This window comes from Homo sapiens, chromosome 13 (genome assembly GCF_000001405.40).
Source record: "Homo sapiens chromosome 13, GRCh38.p14 Primary Assembly".
NCBI classification, from domain to species: domain Eukaryota; kingdom Metazoa; phylum Chordata; class Mammalia; order Primates; family Hominidae; genus Homo; species Homo sapiens.
The window spans coordinates 104,125,511-104,140,272 of record NC_000013.11 but is presented as its reverse complement, the minus strand read 5'-3'; the positions used below and the strand labels follow the sequence as shown (position 1 = coordinate 104,140,272).

General features: G+C 34.3%; 1 long non-coding RNA gene across 1 annotated transcript; it reads right to left on the bottom strand.

The window, feature by feature from the left end:
- Positions 1–5,984: 5,984 nt before the first annotated feature.
- On the bottom strand, positions 5,985–14,343 carry LOC105370340 (uncharacterized). The gene is made up of 3 exons (XR_931689.2): positions 14,299–14,343; positions 9,120–9,221; positions 5,985–7,354 (listed from the first exon to the last, which is right to left on the bottom strand). It is a non-coding gene; the product is annotated as an uncharacterized LOC105370340 (long non-coding RNA).
- Positions 14,344–14,762: the final 419 nt, after the last annotated feature.

Genomic DNA, 14,762 nt, shown 5'->3' with positions numbered 1-14,762 from the left:
GAGACATTGGAACTTGTAAGCCATTGAATACATCTCAAATGGACATAGTATGCCGGGGCAATGATTTTACAAATATGCCACCTAAGCCTCTTATACCGTGCACATGTCAGCATCAACTTTAACACCAATGAAAACAAACTGTATGGGTAGAGAACATTCCTGAAGAAATTCCTCTTCAGGCTTTAAATTACTTTGTTCAAGATTTGGTAATGTTTTGTGTAATTTTAAAATGATAGTGGCTGACCTAGAGGTTTGATAAAGCAATCTATATGAGGTTATTCGCAATTATCTGAGTTGTGTATTATAGGTCAATCGCTAAACAGTTAAAACTATTGAAAAAAAGTAATCGAATGGCTTACTCATGCCTAATTATTGTTCTTTTTAATATAACAAAATGTAATATATTAACAATTGTACTGAAATTATTGGTATCATTTCAAGGCTTTCTCCTATCAAAATCATTTCTATTTAATAGATATGACTCATTTCTATTTAATTGGTTTCATCATAGTATACTTTTATTTAAAAAGAATTACTATTCACAAAATTTTATTATTTAATTCCATGCCCAATAACTAATTCAAAAAGAAACATCAGTGGTCTTATTTAATAAAAAAAAAAGTTAATTGCAAACTGTTGATTTATCTACAAAAGGATAACTAGTATGATCAGACCCAAAATAAAACAGTCTCTTTAACAGTCATAGTGGAATAAACATTAAAACCTTGTTCAAATACACAATTATTTATATATAGAAAAATTATAGGAAAATGAAAAATTAGATTTCATGAAGCTTTAAAAAGTTTTACATATAGTGTCTTTCAAAATGAAAGTATTTAGTCAAGATAAGGTTGTGATTCATTATACTATCCATTTTTAGACAATTTTAAGTGTTAAAACAGACTTTAGCTTTTGTGTGGCCTTATTCAATAGATGGGTCTCTTCAGATTTGTAACATTTACAATAAACAATTCTTTTACTACATAGTTTAATTAATGTAAGAATAATCATTACATTTCTCTATATTTTTTCCAGAAATAACACTGCAAAAACTAATTACCTTTTAAACCCATGTATTTAATTCAAAATGTCAAGATAAAGCTCAAATTGTGTAGGAAAACTGAAGTCGAACCTTTTAAAAAGAAATGCACATTAGTTCAACAAAAGCGTGCTGCAAAATAACCCTGAAAATGGTGTTTCTTTTTGCAACATTTCACTAAAACTTTAAAAAGAAAAATGTTTTGTTTTACATATGAGGAATTATAAGCCAAGTTAGCTAGGTTTTATTAACTTGATAGAATGTTGGCAATTTCTTTATGTAGATTGTTCTGTTTCATGCTATTTCAACTTACAGCTGTGCTTTTTGACAGAATCCAGATTTGCCATATACTATTAATATAGTTATCAAATATGTTTAACATCTATATCTGTTAGCATATATTTTGCAAAAATGTAGCTAATAATGCTATTTTTAAACAAGTTAACAAATATGTCCCTAAAACCAAAAATAGAGATTGTTTCATTTTAATTTTAAAGTACAGGTTATTTGCTGAAATATTTGTTTTTAATACATCTATAAATAAAAGAAGGCTGAAAACAGTCTTCAATTTGACTCCACGTGTAATGATTTTAGGAAGCTCTGCCCAATACGTGGTTGGTTAGTATCGCAAGGGAGAAAAAGCAACACGGGTCTCTCCATTGAGCGCAGTGGCAGGATATGGCTCCAAAATGGCCCTGAACACCACTGGGAGGAACACCTGTGCTGCACTCTTTTGTTAGAGCTTTGAGTGCTCTCTATTAAAAGAAGGAAACACCCTCTTTCAAATAGTGGGAATTTTCTCAGTTTACACAAACAATACATTTAAGGGGAAATAACTTATGAGAAAAATGTGTCATTGGTCTACTTTCTCAGTAGCTTTTTGCAAGGCAATGCTTTATCATGATTACGATACACGCTTAGTTCAAACACATGTATCAGGTTTTATCTTTTTTTGTCTAACTTATTAGAACAATTAGAAAAACGAGACGTTTCTCCTGTGCTTTGTGCTTTAAGGAAGCTACTGCCTAAGTGTGTAAGATTATCTCAACAACTGTATGCCTTACATCTCATTTTCTATTATCAAACCCTAAATGGGAACTGCATTTTCTTTTTGCTGTAGCTTATAGATGTTAGATTCCTCTCTTACCCCTTCCCACACCCCCCCCATACCACCACACACACACACACACACACACACACACGCACGAACACAGACGGACAAGGAGCAAGGAGTCTGGCTACCAAGAAATAACAGTTCACCTTAGAAGGAGGCACCTTTCATCAGATAAGCACTGACATTTACATGGTTTCCCTAATCTGAGTTCCCTAGGGACATTTATTTACTAGAAGGATCAACTTCTAATTTGGGAACAGAAACAAAAGATTCCTGAGGATTGGCTTGAGACCATGCTAAGCAGAATTGGGGTTACGCTGAAGTGGCACAGCCCAGTCTGCCCTGGGCGACTTGAAGAATCCAAAAGTGCTAGCAACAAAACCCTCTGAAGCCAAACCCCTCACCCAAGCAACGCATATCGTGGGATACATGTCATGTAGGAGTCATATTGACCTTCCTTCTTAGAAACATGCTGATTCCTTCATCGGAACAGCCCCTGTGAGTGCTGTCTGCAAGGCTTTCTGCTGGGGCTTGTTTGAGTCCTTGATTTGTGTAGGTCTGAGGTTATTGGTTGGTAACTTAATAATGCACAAATTCAATATCATGCAGACATCAGTCTTCACGGTGATAACAGCATGAGCCTAAATTAACTCCAGAGTATTAGAGCATAATTTACAGGTAAGTGTGCCATAATGATGAAGGTATAAATTGTTCAGTGTGTTTAAGTGCCAGATAGAATCTTCTTTCCCATCTTGGTTGACTTTTCCATTGGTATCACTCTAGCTAGGTAGAGATTATAAGAACATGTATGTTTGATCAAGAAAAGCAAGTAGTAACAGCGGGGAATCAACTGAATGCCACTGGAGATCCAGAAATCACTAGAGAATTTTAAGCGTTTCATTTTTTCATGAAGAAATAACAATTTTTATTTTCTTTTCTTTTACCTTAGTTCTAAGGCACATTACAAAAAATGAGAGAAAAGAGTTGTCAGTTCTGTTCTGACAGGCCTCTGCTACTGAACAGTGGGATTCTTCTTCACATCAAATCCACAGGCGCAGAAGACTTGCATATCCTGGGGTACCAAATCTTCAGAATCTTGACTTAAGAAAGTCAGAATTGGAAACAGAGCTGCTACAATGGCAATGACGAGCTGCTCAGCTCCTGAAACAAATTTTCTTTGTCCTACAGCAACGGATCTGCAAATTAATTTTCTTTCTTTGCTGGAATCTGTTACCTTGCATCCACTCATGGGCAGTCACCTAGAGGCTTCCCCACCACCGGCCCAGACACATCTCCTTCATTCTTATGTTGCTTTAGAAATGTGCACGGATGCTTTCTTTTTAATAAAAAAAATATAAACTTAGTCTATAACAGATATGCACTTGTAATGAAAGTTTTATTAAATGGAAATATAAGTGAGAGAATTTCAGTGAAAAAATGTTTAATTTTGTCTTAGGCTTCTGACATTTGGAGATATTTCATTTTATTCAGTTGGAAATGTATACCCAGCAAAGACAGGTTATTATTTCTAGTTAACTTGTATTTGGAAATTGGGTAACTAACACCAGATAGTCTTGGATAATTAGTTTAAATAACTGCATAATAAACCTAATCATCAAATGGGAAGAGTAGGCATTTCTAAAATTCATTCATTCACTCCTTGTTTGTTTCTTTATTCAATGTAAGTTTATTAAGCACCAACGAAGCACTATGCTCAACGTGTCATCCCTTTATTAGAGAACACTGTCAACTGATTATATATCATTTGACAGTGTTTAGAGTCACACATCCATACCATAATATTGATTGATCACCTATCATGGATGCAATTCTTACATCAGTTTGATGTCTTGTAGCAGTCAACAACACAGAACAAACAACATAATCCCTGCCTTTGTAGCGTTCACATTCTACTATTGTTTAGAGGAAAGTAACCGATAAACATAATAAATAAGTACCTTATGGATTTTTGAGGTGATAATTGCTAAGAAAAAAAATAGAGCAGTGTGTGGGTGGGGGCGGGGAGCTGCAAATATAAATAGGACAATCAGGGTAGGCCTCTTATTAACTAGAAAAAATTTGCCATTTTCTGTGTTGTCTGACCAGAAGCGCTGATACAATCTTTCCACCGTCCACCCCTAATCTTTACGAAACAAAGAAAATCATGGAAACTTTCAAGATAGTGTTTAAACTGGCCGTCCCTTTCTAAGTCAGCAACCACACTCTCAAACACACACACATACACACACACCCCACACCCGCCACACACACACACATACACACACACACCACACCACACAAGCAGGAAGCAGAAGGACGTAGAATGGCTGGAGTGGCCAACTATACCAGAAAGTGTGGTTCACATAGACAAAGGTCTAGAAAGAGGGATTGAGACCCCTTTTCCTGACAAGTACAGCCTCGTTAAACTCAAGTTTTTAAAGTTTAACCTCACTGGTAATCCAAAAACAGTATTGCAGTGTATATTTTTTAAAATTTCTCTAATTGAGATTTCCTTTTTAAATTATATTACCAAATGCTGGTGGGGCTACAGTGAGAAGGCAAAGCTTCCATTTAGTGGAGAAACATAAATGATGTAATATTTCTGGGAAAGAATTTAGGAATATAGAACAGGGGCTTGAAGCATTTATTTAAATGACATGATCCATTTTAAGAGTCCACACTAAAGTCAGACCCATTATTGTGTAAAGATTCTTACAATAGCTTAACTTGGAAGAGGTAAGCCTGGAAACAACTTTGTAAGTATAGTAACAGTAGCATACTTAAATAAATTATAATGTATTCAAACATAGACTATCAAATAACTATAAAAGTAATATTTAGGCCAGGTACAGTGGCTCATGCCTGTAATTGCAGCACTTTGGAAGGCCAAAGTCGGAGGATCCTTTGAGTCCAGGCATTTGAGACCAGCCAGGGTAACTTAGCGAGACCCTATCTCTACAAAAAATACAAAAATGAAGTGGGAGGATGACTTTAGCCTGGGAGGTTAAGGCTGCAGTGAGCCAAGATCATGCCAATGTACTCAACCTGGGGGACACAGTGAGATCTCGTCTCAAGAAAAGCAAAGTAATATTTAGTAATATACAAAAATATGTGAATTAACTTATATTAAAAAATGTAATTTGCACTATGAACTCAAAATATATGAAGTTTAATACAATAAAGAACCCTAAAGATAATCAATAAAATGTTATTTTTTGAATAAAGTGCTTATGGCTGGCTAATTTTTGTTTTATACTTATTTTTTTTCTACTTTGTAAATTTTCACTAGTGAAAGGCGTTACTTTTACAGCTAGAATATTTTTAAAAGTTTGTTGTTCAGCAACTGACACTCTTAAGATTGAATAACAAAGGGCTGGGCACGGTAGTTCATGCCTGTAATCCCAGCACTTTGGGAGGCTGAGGTGGGTGGATCACCTGAGGTCAGGAGTTAGAGACCAGCCTGGCCAACATGACAAAACCTTGTCTCTACTAAAAATACAAAAAATTAGGCGTGGTGGCAGGTGCCTGTAATTCCACCTACTCAGAAGGCTGAGGGAGGAGAATTGCTTGAGCCCGGGAGGCAGAGGTTGCAGAGAGCAGAGATCACGCCATTGCACTCCAGCCTGGGCAACAAGAGTGACACATTGTCTCAAAAAAAATAAATAAATAAAAATGAAAAAAAAATTGAATAACAAAAATTCTTCCTCACTTCATGAGCAACTATTAAAATTAAATTAAATTTTAATTTAATTAAATCATAATTAACAATTAAAATGTAGTATTCTCAGAAAAGCAGATTACATCAATTTCTTTACACAAGACCCGAAAGATATGTTCTGGGAAGTTGACAGATACCCTGTACTTTTTGTTTAATTTTCCATTTTTACTTAGTTAAAAATCAAACCAGTACTGACATTTAAAAAATACTACACTCAATCACATAACTGGGGTGCTCTCTCCTTGGGACAGCAGGGATAGGGGACAGTGAGAGGAGTGAATGTCTCCCTCTCCATGAGCAAGCTTTCCACTCACAGTAGTCCCCCTTCTTGTTGCGATGGACGCATTTTCTGCTCCTCCGACCTGTGAACGCACAGCCTGGTAGCCCTCTGGAGCCCTGTTGCCCATCCCCATCTCCTTCTTTACACTCTGGGCATCCTCTTCCAGATCGGTGTCATCCTTCAACAGGTTTTCCTTCTCATTTTCCTTCAAGCTATTTGTTCCATTTTTTTTTTCCGTGGAAGGGTCCTTCCATCTTTCCCTTGGCTGTTATGTTTCTTCATTTAATGTTTTTAATGGGATCCCACGAAGGAAAGGATATAGCACACGAGAGCTGAGTTAACAACTGATATGGTTTGGCTCCGTGTCCCACCCAAATCTCATGTTGAGTTGTAATCCCTAACGTTGGGGGAAGGACCTGGTGGGAGGTGACTGGATCATGGGGGTTTCTAATGTTGCCCTTGTAACATATATTTCCCAACAAGGGGATCAAGCTTGTAGCTCTGTTGAAGAAACTGACTCTATTATATACCACCAAAATATTTTTAAAATACAAAGAGAATCTATCATAATTTTTGAAGAATAAGTACCTCATTCTGATATGAGTGCTTTTCTTTTGAACATTAATCACTAAGTGAAAAGATAAAGTATAAATATTAATTATCACTCACTAGGATTTTAGGTCCGTCAGAGCAGGGTTTCATCTGACATGCCCATCACTGTTTCTAACTGCCTCAAACAGCGAATGGCACAAGGCAGATACTTGATACATAATAATCAAATATGCCTGATAAAAATTTCTAACTGGAGGTTAAGGAAGCCTCTGAAGTCACAGAAGAAATCAGGTTAGAAAGTTAATGATCTTCCCCACAGTTCTTGCTATGCTGAGACTAAGCCACATAATTTTCATTTCTTCCTAAACATCCTCAGAGAATAAGAGTGAGGTGAGGCTGGCGAAGACAGATGACCCCAAAGCGCTTCTGAGCCACCCTTGCTTTGGAGAGCAGAGCTTCAACTCAGAGCTCAGAGCTGCAGGCTCAGAGGTCTAAGAATCTCCCCTCCCAGCCACTCCCCAGAATGAACCCCCTGCCCATCGTGGCTTCAGCTCCTGCCCAGCACTCAAAGTAGCTCTGCCGGTAACACCGGCAGACAATGGAATTGCAGGAAGGGATAATATTTGTTCCAGGGATGGTGGCCTAAACAACCTGAAAAGCAAAAAGAAAAAGTAAGTTTCTCAAGAGCCAGGGCATAGATGAAGCTGTCTCTTCACACTAAATGCACCACCATGTTTTTCTTATAACTTGAGTGTGTCTTTCTTCCTTATAGACCCAACTTGTCTAAAGCATCTGGCTTCCTGGGAATGGCTAATATTTTATATCCACTTGTATTTCTGTGTAAATGGAAATCAGAAAATGTCTAGAAATTCAGGTATAAAGCAGGGAGACAATACAACGGGGAAATGACCAGAGCCTTTGCGTGCTTTGTTGGTGCTTTGTCTTCCTTTCCACTTAAGTCTATAGTGTGTGGGGATAAAACATATGCAAGCCAGCAGAGGACTGACACGTTCCTATTGACATAGTAGGAAAGCTCCCTTTCTCCAACCTGCTGACCCTCAGAATACTACCAAGGATGTCTGTCCCAGGCTTTCTGGGAGTAAATTGAGGCTAAATGTGAGTCTCTGTGGAGAGGAGATGGTCATAATTTTTCTCACGTTGCATATGATTGCATATCATTTGTTCTACTTCAAATTACATATAATGGAAAACCTTTTATCTGTACAGTCCTCTGTAGGTTGCTCAGAGGAAAAATGCAGACAAGACAGATGATAAATGCATAGATAATCAAATAGGGAGAATCTGCTTCTCGTTCTTTCACTCATAGAAAGGCGTGACAGTTAGAGCTGTGTGGAACTACCAATTTTCACATTCTTTGCATTCACTTGAAAACTTAGCTTTTATAGTAATTTGAAAACTTAATCCAAGGCATGGTATTTCCACCAGCAAACAAATTAAACAAGGAATATAGCTCTGAGTTTTCATGAGCTCTCACTAACATTGCTTGCAGTACATACAAAATAAGCTTCTGAATATTAGTCTCAATCAATTATTTAAAACAGAATTATATTTCAAATGCAATCGAATCAAGCTACTAAAGAACTTTTACTGTCAGTTTTAAAATGAATAATCTATCTCTGGTTTATCAATATTTTAATCAGATTTGCATATACATCTTGTTAAATGTATTACTTTCTGAGTTTTCTATGTCTTTCTATATTTTTATCTCTATAAAATTCTCTCTTATTTTACTTCCTCTATGACGGTAAATAGGGAATGGGTCTTCTTCCTTGACATACACATTCTCTAATCGAATGAAATGTAGATTTATGCACCCATTTTCTCTAATATTTAATAATAAATCTCTACATGGGGTTATAGGGAGAAAGCCAAGGCATGATGTCCCACACAGGTCCCTGAACACTCCTCTTCATGCTGACTCGGTCTCTCACAGACCCTTCACTGTGTGGAATAACATGTCCCTTTCGGTGAATCAAAGAGTAGTATAGTGTTGGTGCAGAAAGAGAACATGGAGAAGTGAACTAGACGATGAGTTGCTTAAGGTAGCAATCTGGAAGTAATCTTTGGGTATTTCATTGCCCTATCTGCCAATATAATGTATCCTAATAGTTAAAAAATATAACCCCAACATTTCTCTTGAACTACCAACTTTTGGTCTCCTCTGCTTACCCTGTTTGCAAAGATAATATTTCATTAACTCTATTGAAGTTTTAATGGATTTTCTGGTTTCTCCTTTGTCCCCTTAGAATTCAAAATTTATTTACAATAATAGTCATTATTTTAAAATCTAAGTCAAACCATGGAGTCAACCCCCACATATCCCTGTTGTAAAAATAAAATAGAATATTATGAGACAATGATTTGTAAAAATCATATCATACAAACATATTTGTACCTTATTCTCAGAAGAAACCAATTTTACTTCACTGAAGCTTCAGGCAAAACACTTCATACGACCTTTTGAACTCTTCAATGCTATCCAAAAAATTTTCATCGTCTATATTAAAAACAAGAAAGTATTTAGCTTTCTATTCCTATAAAACTGTTAAAGAGCAGGGGTTCAATTCTATGGACAACATAATGTGGATTTTGCAGATGCTATGCGTGTTTAAATATTTGCAATAGTATTACTGCCACAATAAAAGAAAAGCAAACCAACGTTATCAACATAATCAAATCTGATTTTTAAGAAAGAAAGATAAACTCTTTCATAAGAACACACTGTAATCACTGGACTTCTGAAGTATGGAAATCTTCTCGTGAGCTGAGGACTTCTGAATGGTGTGTTTCATCAAATACTTTAGGCAATACAGCTTTTATACTGGAAGTTTATGTTGGTAATTCAATCTTCTCACTTTGTGTTTGTGAAAAGTCTTGATCATATACTATTTTAATAAAACATTAAATGAATACATCTAAAATTGCATACCTCTTACAGCATCAAGTGCCATGTAATGCAGAGGTAATTCCTCAAATTCTGTTGTTGATTGGATGATGGCATTCCTTTTTGTGAATACAGCAAGCTTTCTAAAATTATTATTTTCATGTCTTCTTTTTTATCTTAATTTTATTTATTTTATATTATCATTCTGATTCTTCTATCACCCACATTTGTAGGAATACAAAATATTCTGTTACATGTTGTAATTAAGCCTCACAGGTATCTTTTTTTCATTGCAAGTTGCTTTTTGCCCTAAGGAGTTCTGTGTACCATTTGCCCTATATTGCAAAAGCATCTTAATAGAATATCATTTTTTTGTCTGGGCTCAAAAAGGATTTCTCTGTTCCTGAACCAGTTTTCACGTTGATTTCTTGGTTTAGGATTACAGAGGAATGCACAGTGGAATCACTGAACAGGGATAAAACAGGTCTTGAGTTTTGACTTTTTGTAGTTGGCTGTTGATGCTGTTTTTTTATTCTCCCATAATCACGACCATGGGCAGAAAGTAAGCATCCTTGTGGCTTCCTTATGTTGATTCTAGAGCTTTTTTAGGTACTGAAACTCTTCCAGATTTTAGGCTTTATAAAAGGATCTTTGTTTCAGATCCCTTCTTTGGACAGTGTGAGACTGCGTTTCCCAGATTAGGATACACACTGGTCAATGCTGGCATCAATTCTGTTTACCAATCTGACTTTGAGGTCCATATTTGTTTTTGGATATGGGTATAATTTTGCTATTGATTTTATAGTTTTTAAAATTTAATCAACTTTATTTTTTAGGGAAGTTTAAGTTTATAGAAAAATTAAATGAAAAATGAAGTGATTCTAAGTTCCTAACCTCAAACGCACACAGCCTCCCCAACTGTTGACCTCTTGCACCACAATGGTGCATTTGTTACAACCAATGAACCCACACTGGTACATCACCACCCAAAGTCCATAGTTTACATTAGGGTTCAATCTTGGTGCTGTACATTCTATGGGTTTTGCCAAATATATAATGACACACATCACCACTGCAGTACCTAAAGATCATCTTAAGTATATTTTGTATCCATTATTTCTATAGTTTTTTAGTTAGGCAAAAGGAAAAGCAGTCAATGCTAACTTAGATGAGCATCAATATAGATGTCTTTCTCCAGGATTTATAATATATTTCATTATTATTAAATAAAAACATATTTTCCAAGTTTTTAGTAGAAATACGACATATAAAGGTAAAAAAAAATCCAGTGAGCTTCAAGGTTTTAAAGTTTCAATGATGATATGGTTAATGGAAATGTTTTTCATGATTATGAACATCCTTCAATATCACACAACTTTTGCTGAATAACTTGTTGTATACATTAAATCTGTTTGGCATGGCCACACTACGGTGTATATCATTGCAATCTAAACTTTTATACTCTGCATCTTAGCACTGATGCAGTAATACGGAATCAGACACTCAGCATTATTGCATTATTGCATGTTTCATAGTTTTATAATTGTCATGTGTATTACATAATGTTAAATAATATTTAAGATATTTCCATAAAATTCCTTATTGCTTTCTTATTTTGAAGATTAAGCACTAGTAAAAATGTCAACAGTAAAAACCTAAATAATATACATATATGTAATTCTCCATTTACATATTAAAAGAATACATCATTTAAAATCACATCTATCAAAGGTTAAAAAAGAGATCTGATCTTTATATGGGTACAATAATGCTATATATTGGTAGCTTTTAATCCACGTTTTAAAATAAAAGTAGAACTATTACAAATAATTGTTATTAAAGTTATATTATCTTTGGATGTAATTGATTTGGCATTAACTCGTAAAAAAAAAAAAAGAAAAACAAGTGAATGTGGCTTCTAAGCTAATGAAGTGGTATTTTCACCATTATGTCACTAAATGCTCTAGGCCTTATCCTGAACTTTTCAATTCACAAGTGCATCTTGACTAAGACTCTAGAGAGAGACACACTATGTAGATAGATAGACAGCTGTATATATATATACATATGTATATATACACACACACACATACTCTCTTGATAGTATCTAGATAGTATATAGACAGAGAGCTGTATATGTGTATATACAGCTATTTGTCTCTATATATACACGTATAGATCATATAGATAGCTCTATATATATGTCCATATATATATACACATATTTATACTATATATATACATATATAGCTTCTGAGATATCTGCTGTGCCTATATGATCTGTAGCAGAAAAAACTTCTCAAAAAGACAGCCAATTGTTTAGTGATATTAAAAACATTTGTACATTTAAGTAATATCTTATTAAAATTTGCATTGAAAAAACAGTTGTCATGCACAATGTTCTCTTTAAAATAAATACAAAAACAGATTTTATTTTTCCTTAATTTTTGAGAAATTATCAGGCTAATTATAATTTGGTAAATATCCAAAGAAAGCAGGTTAATAGATTATTAACAAAAGATCTAAAAAATTAACAAATATGCTCTAATAGATGATGTGAATAATTTGTTAGTTAAATATGTGTGTTCTCCAGTGTTTGTCATTTGACCTGTTTTATACTGCTCTTGACGTTAAAAATTTTACCATTAACATGATCAACATTAAGCAAATATTTCTGAGTGGAAACAACTTTCTAAGTATAACTACTGGCTGTGGAATCTCACTGCCACAATAGTTATTATATGTTTATGCATGTAAGAACTCTTTTATAAACCTGCAAACTATTTAGGTTTCTAATGGGTACTGAAAAAATTAACTGTTGAAACATTCTGAGGTTGAACAACACAAAGCGCAAAATTTCTCTTAGTTTATTGGATGGTTTGGTGCCAAACCCCAGGAACTGTTTCAGCCACATTAAGTTCATCTGTAAGAGCACAGAGTATGGAGTATGAAGTAGTGAAGATTTAACAAGGATTGTTAGTACCAAAGGAACTCGACAAAGTGGGCAGGGCAAAGGTTAATGCAACTGAGTTGTTGTAATCACTGACCCATCAATTAAAGCTGAGCAGAAAAGTTAGAATGAGGAGAATAGAAAAATGGAAGATCCTAGTAAGTTTGAGGTCCATGAAGGGTTATAATTGCGAGAGAGCTCTCAGGGAGCCCAGTACTTACAATTAAGATTATGAAGGGTTTGCAACTATTAGTAATAGCAAGATCTAGGGTACAACATTTATGCATGCTCCTGTGTGTGTTTACAGATTTATGAAGTCTTGTGTTCTACTATTCTCATGTAGAAACATTGTTTGCTTTAGTAAAATTAAATTTTTTACTTCGTTACCCAATGATCACACACTCCTTCCACTCATTACTTGGTGCTCCTTGTTGTCTTCAAATTGTATAATTCTGCTTGAGTTTTTCTTCTCCTTCATGAGCAATTTATTTGTGCCACTGGGTATAAGCTATCTCTCATTTATCATCATTTACATTACCTAATATTAATATAAAATTCTGTAAGTTTCAAAGAGATTTTTCATGTCTTAATTAATATAAGCATTACCTACAGTTATAAACTTATTACCGATATAGATATCAAATACACATCAAGTTCATATTCACAGGTGTATTCAGCATTTGATGAAAAAATATGAATAAGTGAACTTAAAAAGTACTAAATACATGAGTGAATAAAAGAAGCAATGGAAGTAATTTTTTTTCTTTTAAAATTCTCTAGATAGTACTAGGACCAAGAGCATTGGATTGACTGGAAGGTTGATGTGATGTTTGGCGTTTTAGTATTATTGTTTTCTACATCATCAATTCACATGTATGTAGTAAACTGACTTAGGACACAGAAGACATGAGTTTGATCTCTCTATTATTTAATAATGGATATATTTCAAAAATGCCCTAGAACTCATATGCACATTCTGTCTGTTCTTGAAAAAGTGTGCCACTGCTCAATGTAACTGTGATATGGGCACTGAATTAAAAAGGTTTGTATTCTGGCACCACTGGTTACCAACTGTGAAATCGTGGGCAATCCTTTTGAAACTCTCCTTTATCATGAATTCCTGTTAATTGTAATAATACTGTAATTATTGCACAGCTAAAATAATCTTTCATCTTTTATTTTATGGTACTCTAAAGAAGTATTAAATGTTCTCATTATCACATTTTATTAATTTTGAGCGAATTAATGCTTCCATTTGCTAGTGCCTCTATTAAACATTCTCATTTTACCTTTTAAATAGCCAAATATTACAAAACAACCAAAATCAGATTCAATAAATATATTGGTAATTAACATTCAATAAGTCTAATAAACTTAAAAATACAGGTATATTAGTAATTGTATTTTTTTGCTAATATTTTGCTTGTTAATGTTTGATAGTTTTAAAATTATATTTTTTCTTATTGTGAAAAATGAAACGTCCTTTATATTTCATGACTTTGCTGGGATACATTATGTATTCCTTTCTTTTTTATCTGTTAATGGTTTATATCATTCCAATGACAAAAAATAGCAGCATTATTTATTATTCAATTATATTCTCCACTCTATTATATTAAATTGCTATTTTATAGCTGAGAAGGTTTATTTCTAAAGACTCTGTAGAAATAATCTCACCATATCTGTATTACAAACAGAGAACATTGATTATTTTCAAGAGAAAGAATTAATAGAACTTACCCTCAGTGCTGGTGGTCTAGAGCCGAAGAGTTGAAAATACAGACTGTACATCATGGAAAGTGCAGTGTCTACTGCCCTAAATGGAATTCAGTAGTAGACAATTGTGTAGTCATAAAGAATTAATGTTACAATAGACCCATGATATCCAGATACTTCACTTAACAGGGCTATTCATTTCTCATTTGTTTAATAATCTAAAATAATAAATGACTATGAATCAAATATTTTGCTGATTTTTTAGCTAATGAACCAGTTTAATCCGGGGGTTCTAAGCCTAATTACTTAAATATACATAAAACAAATAATACAGTATAATATGATTAAGCCTGTAACACATGGATGAAGAAATCACTGGAAAATGGGGGTGTGGAAATAAGCCTGGAAGAATTCAGAAACATTTTACATTCATTCGAAAAATTAACATGTTATAATTAGGCCTTGCAGAAAAAACAGTTTAGAAGGTC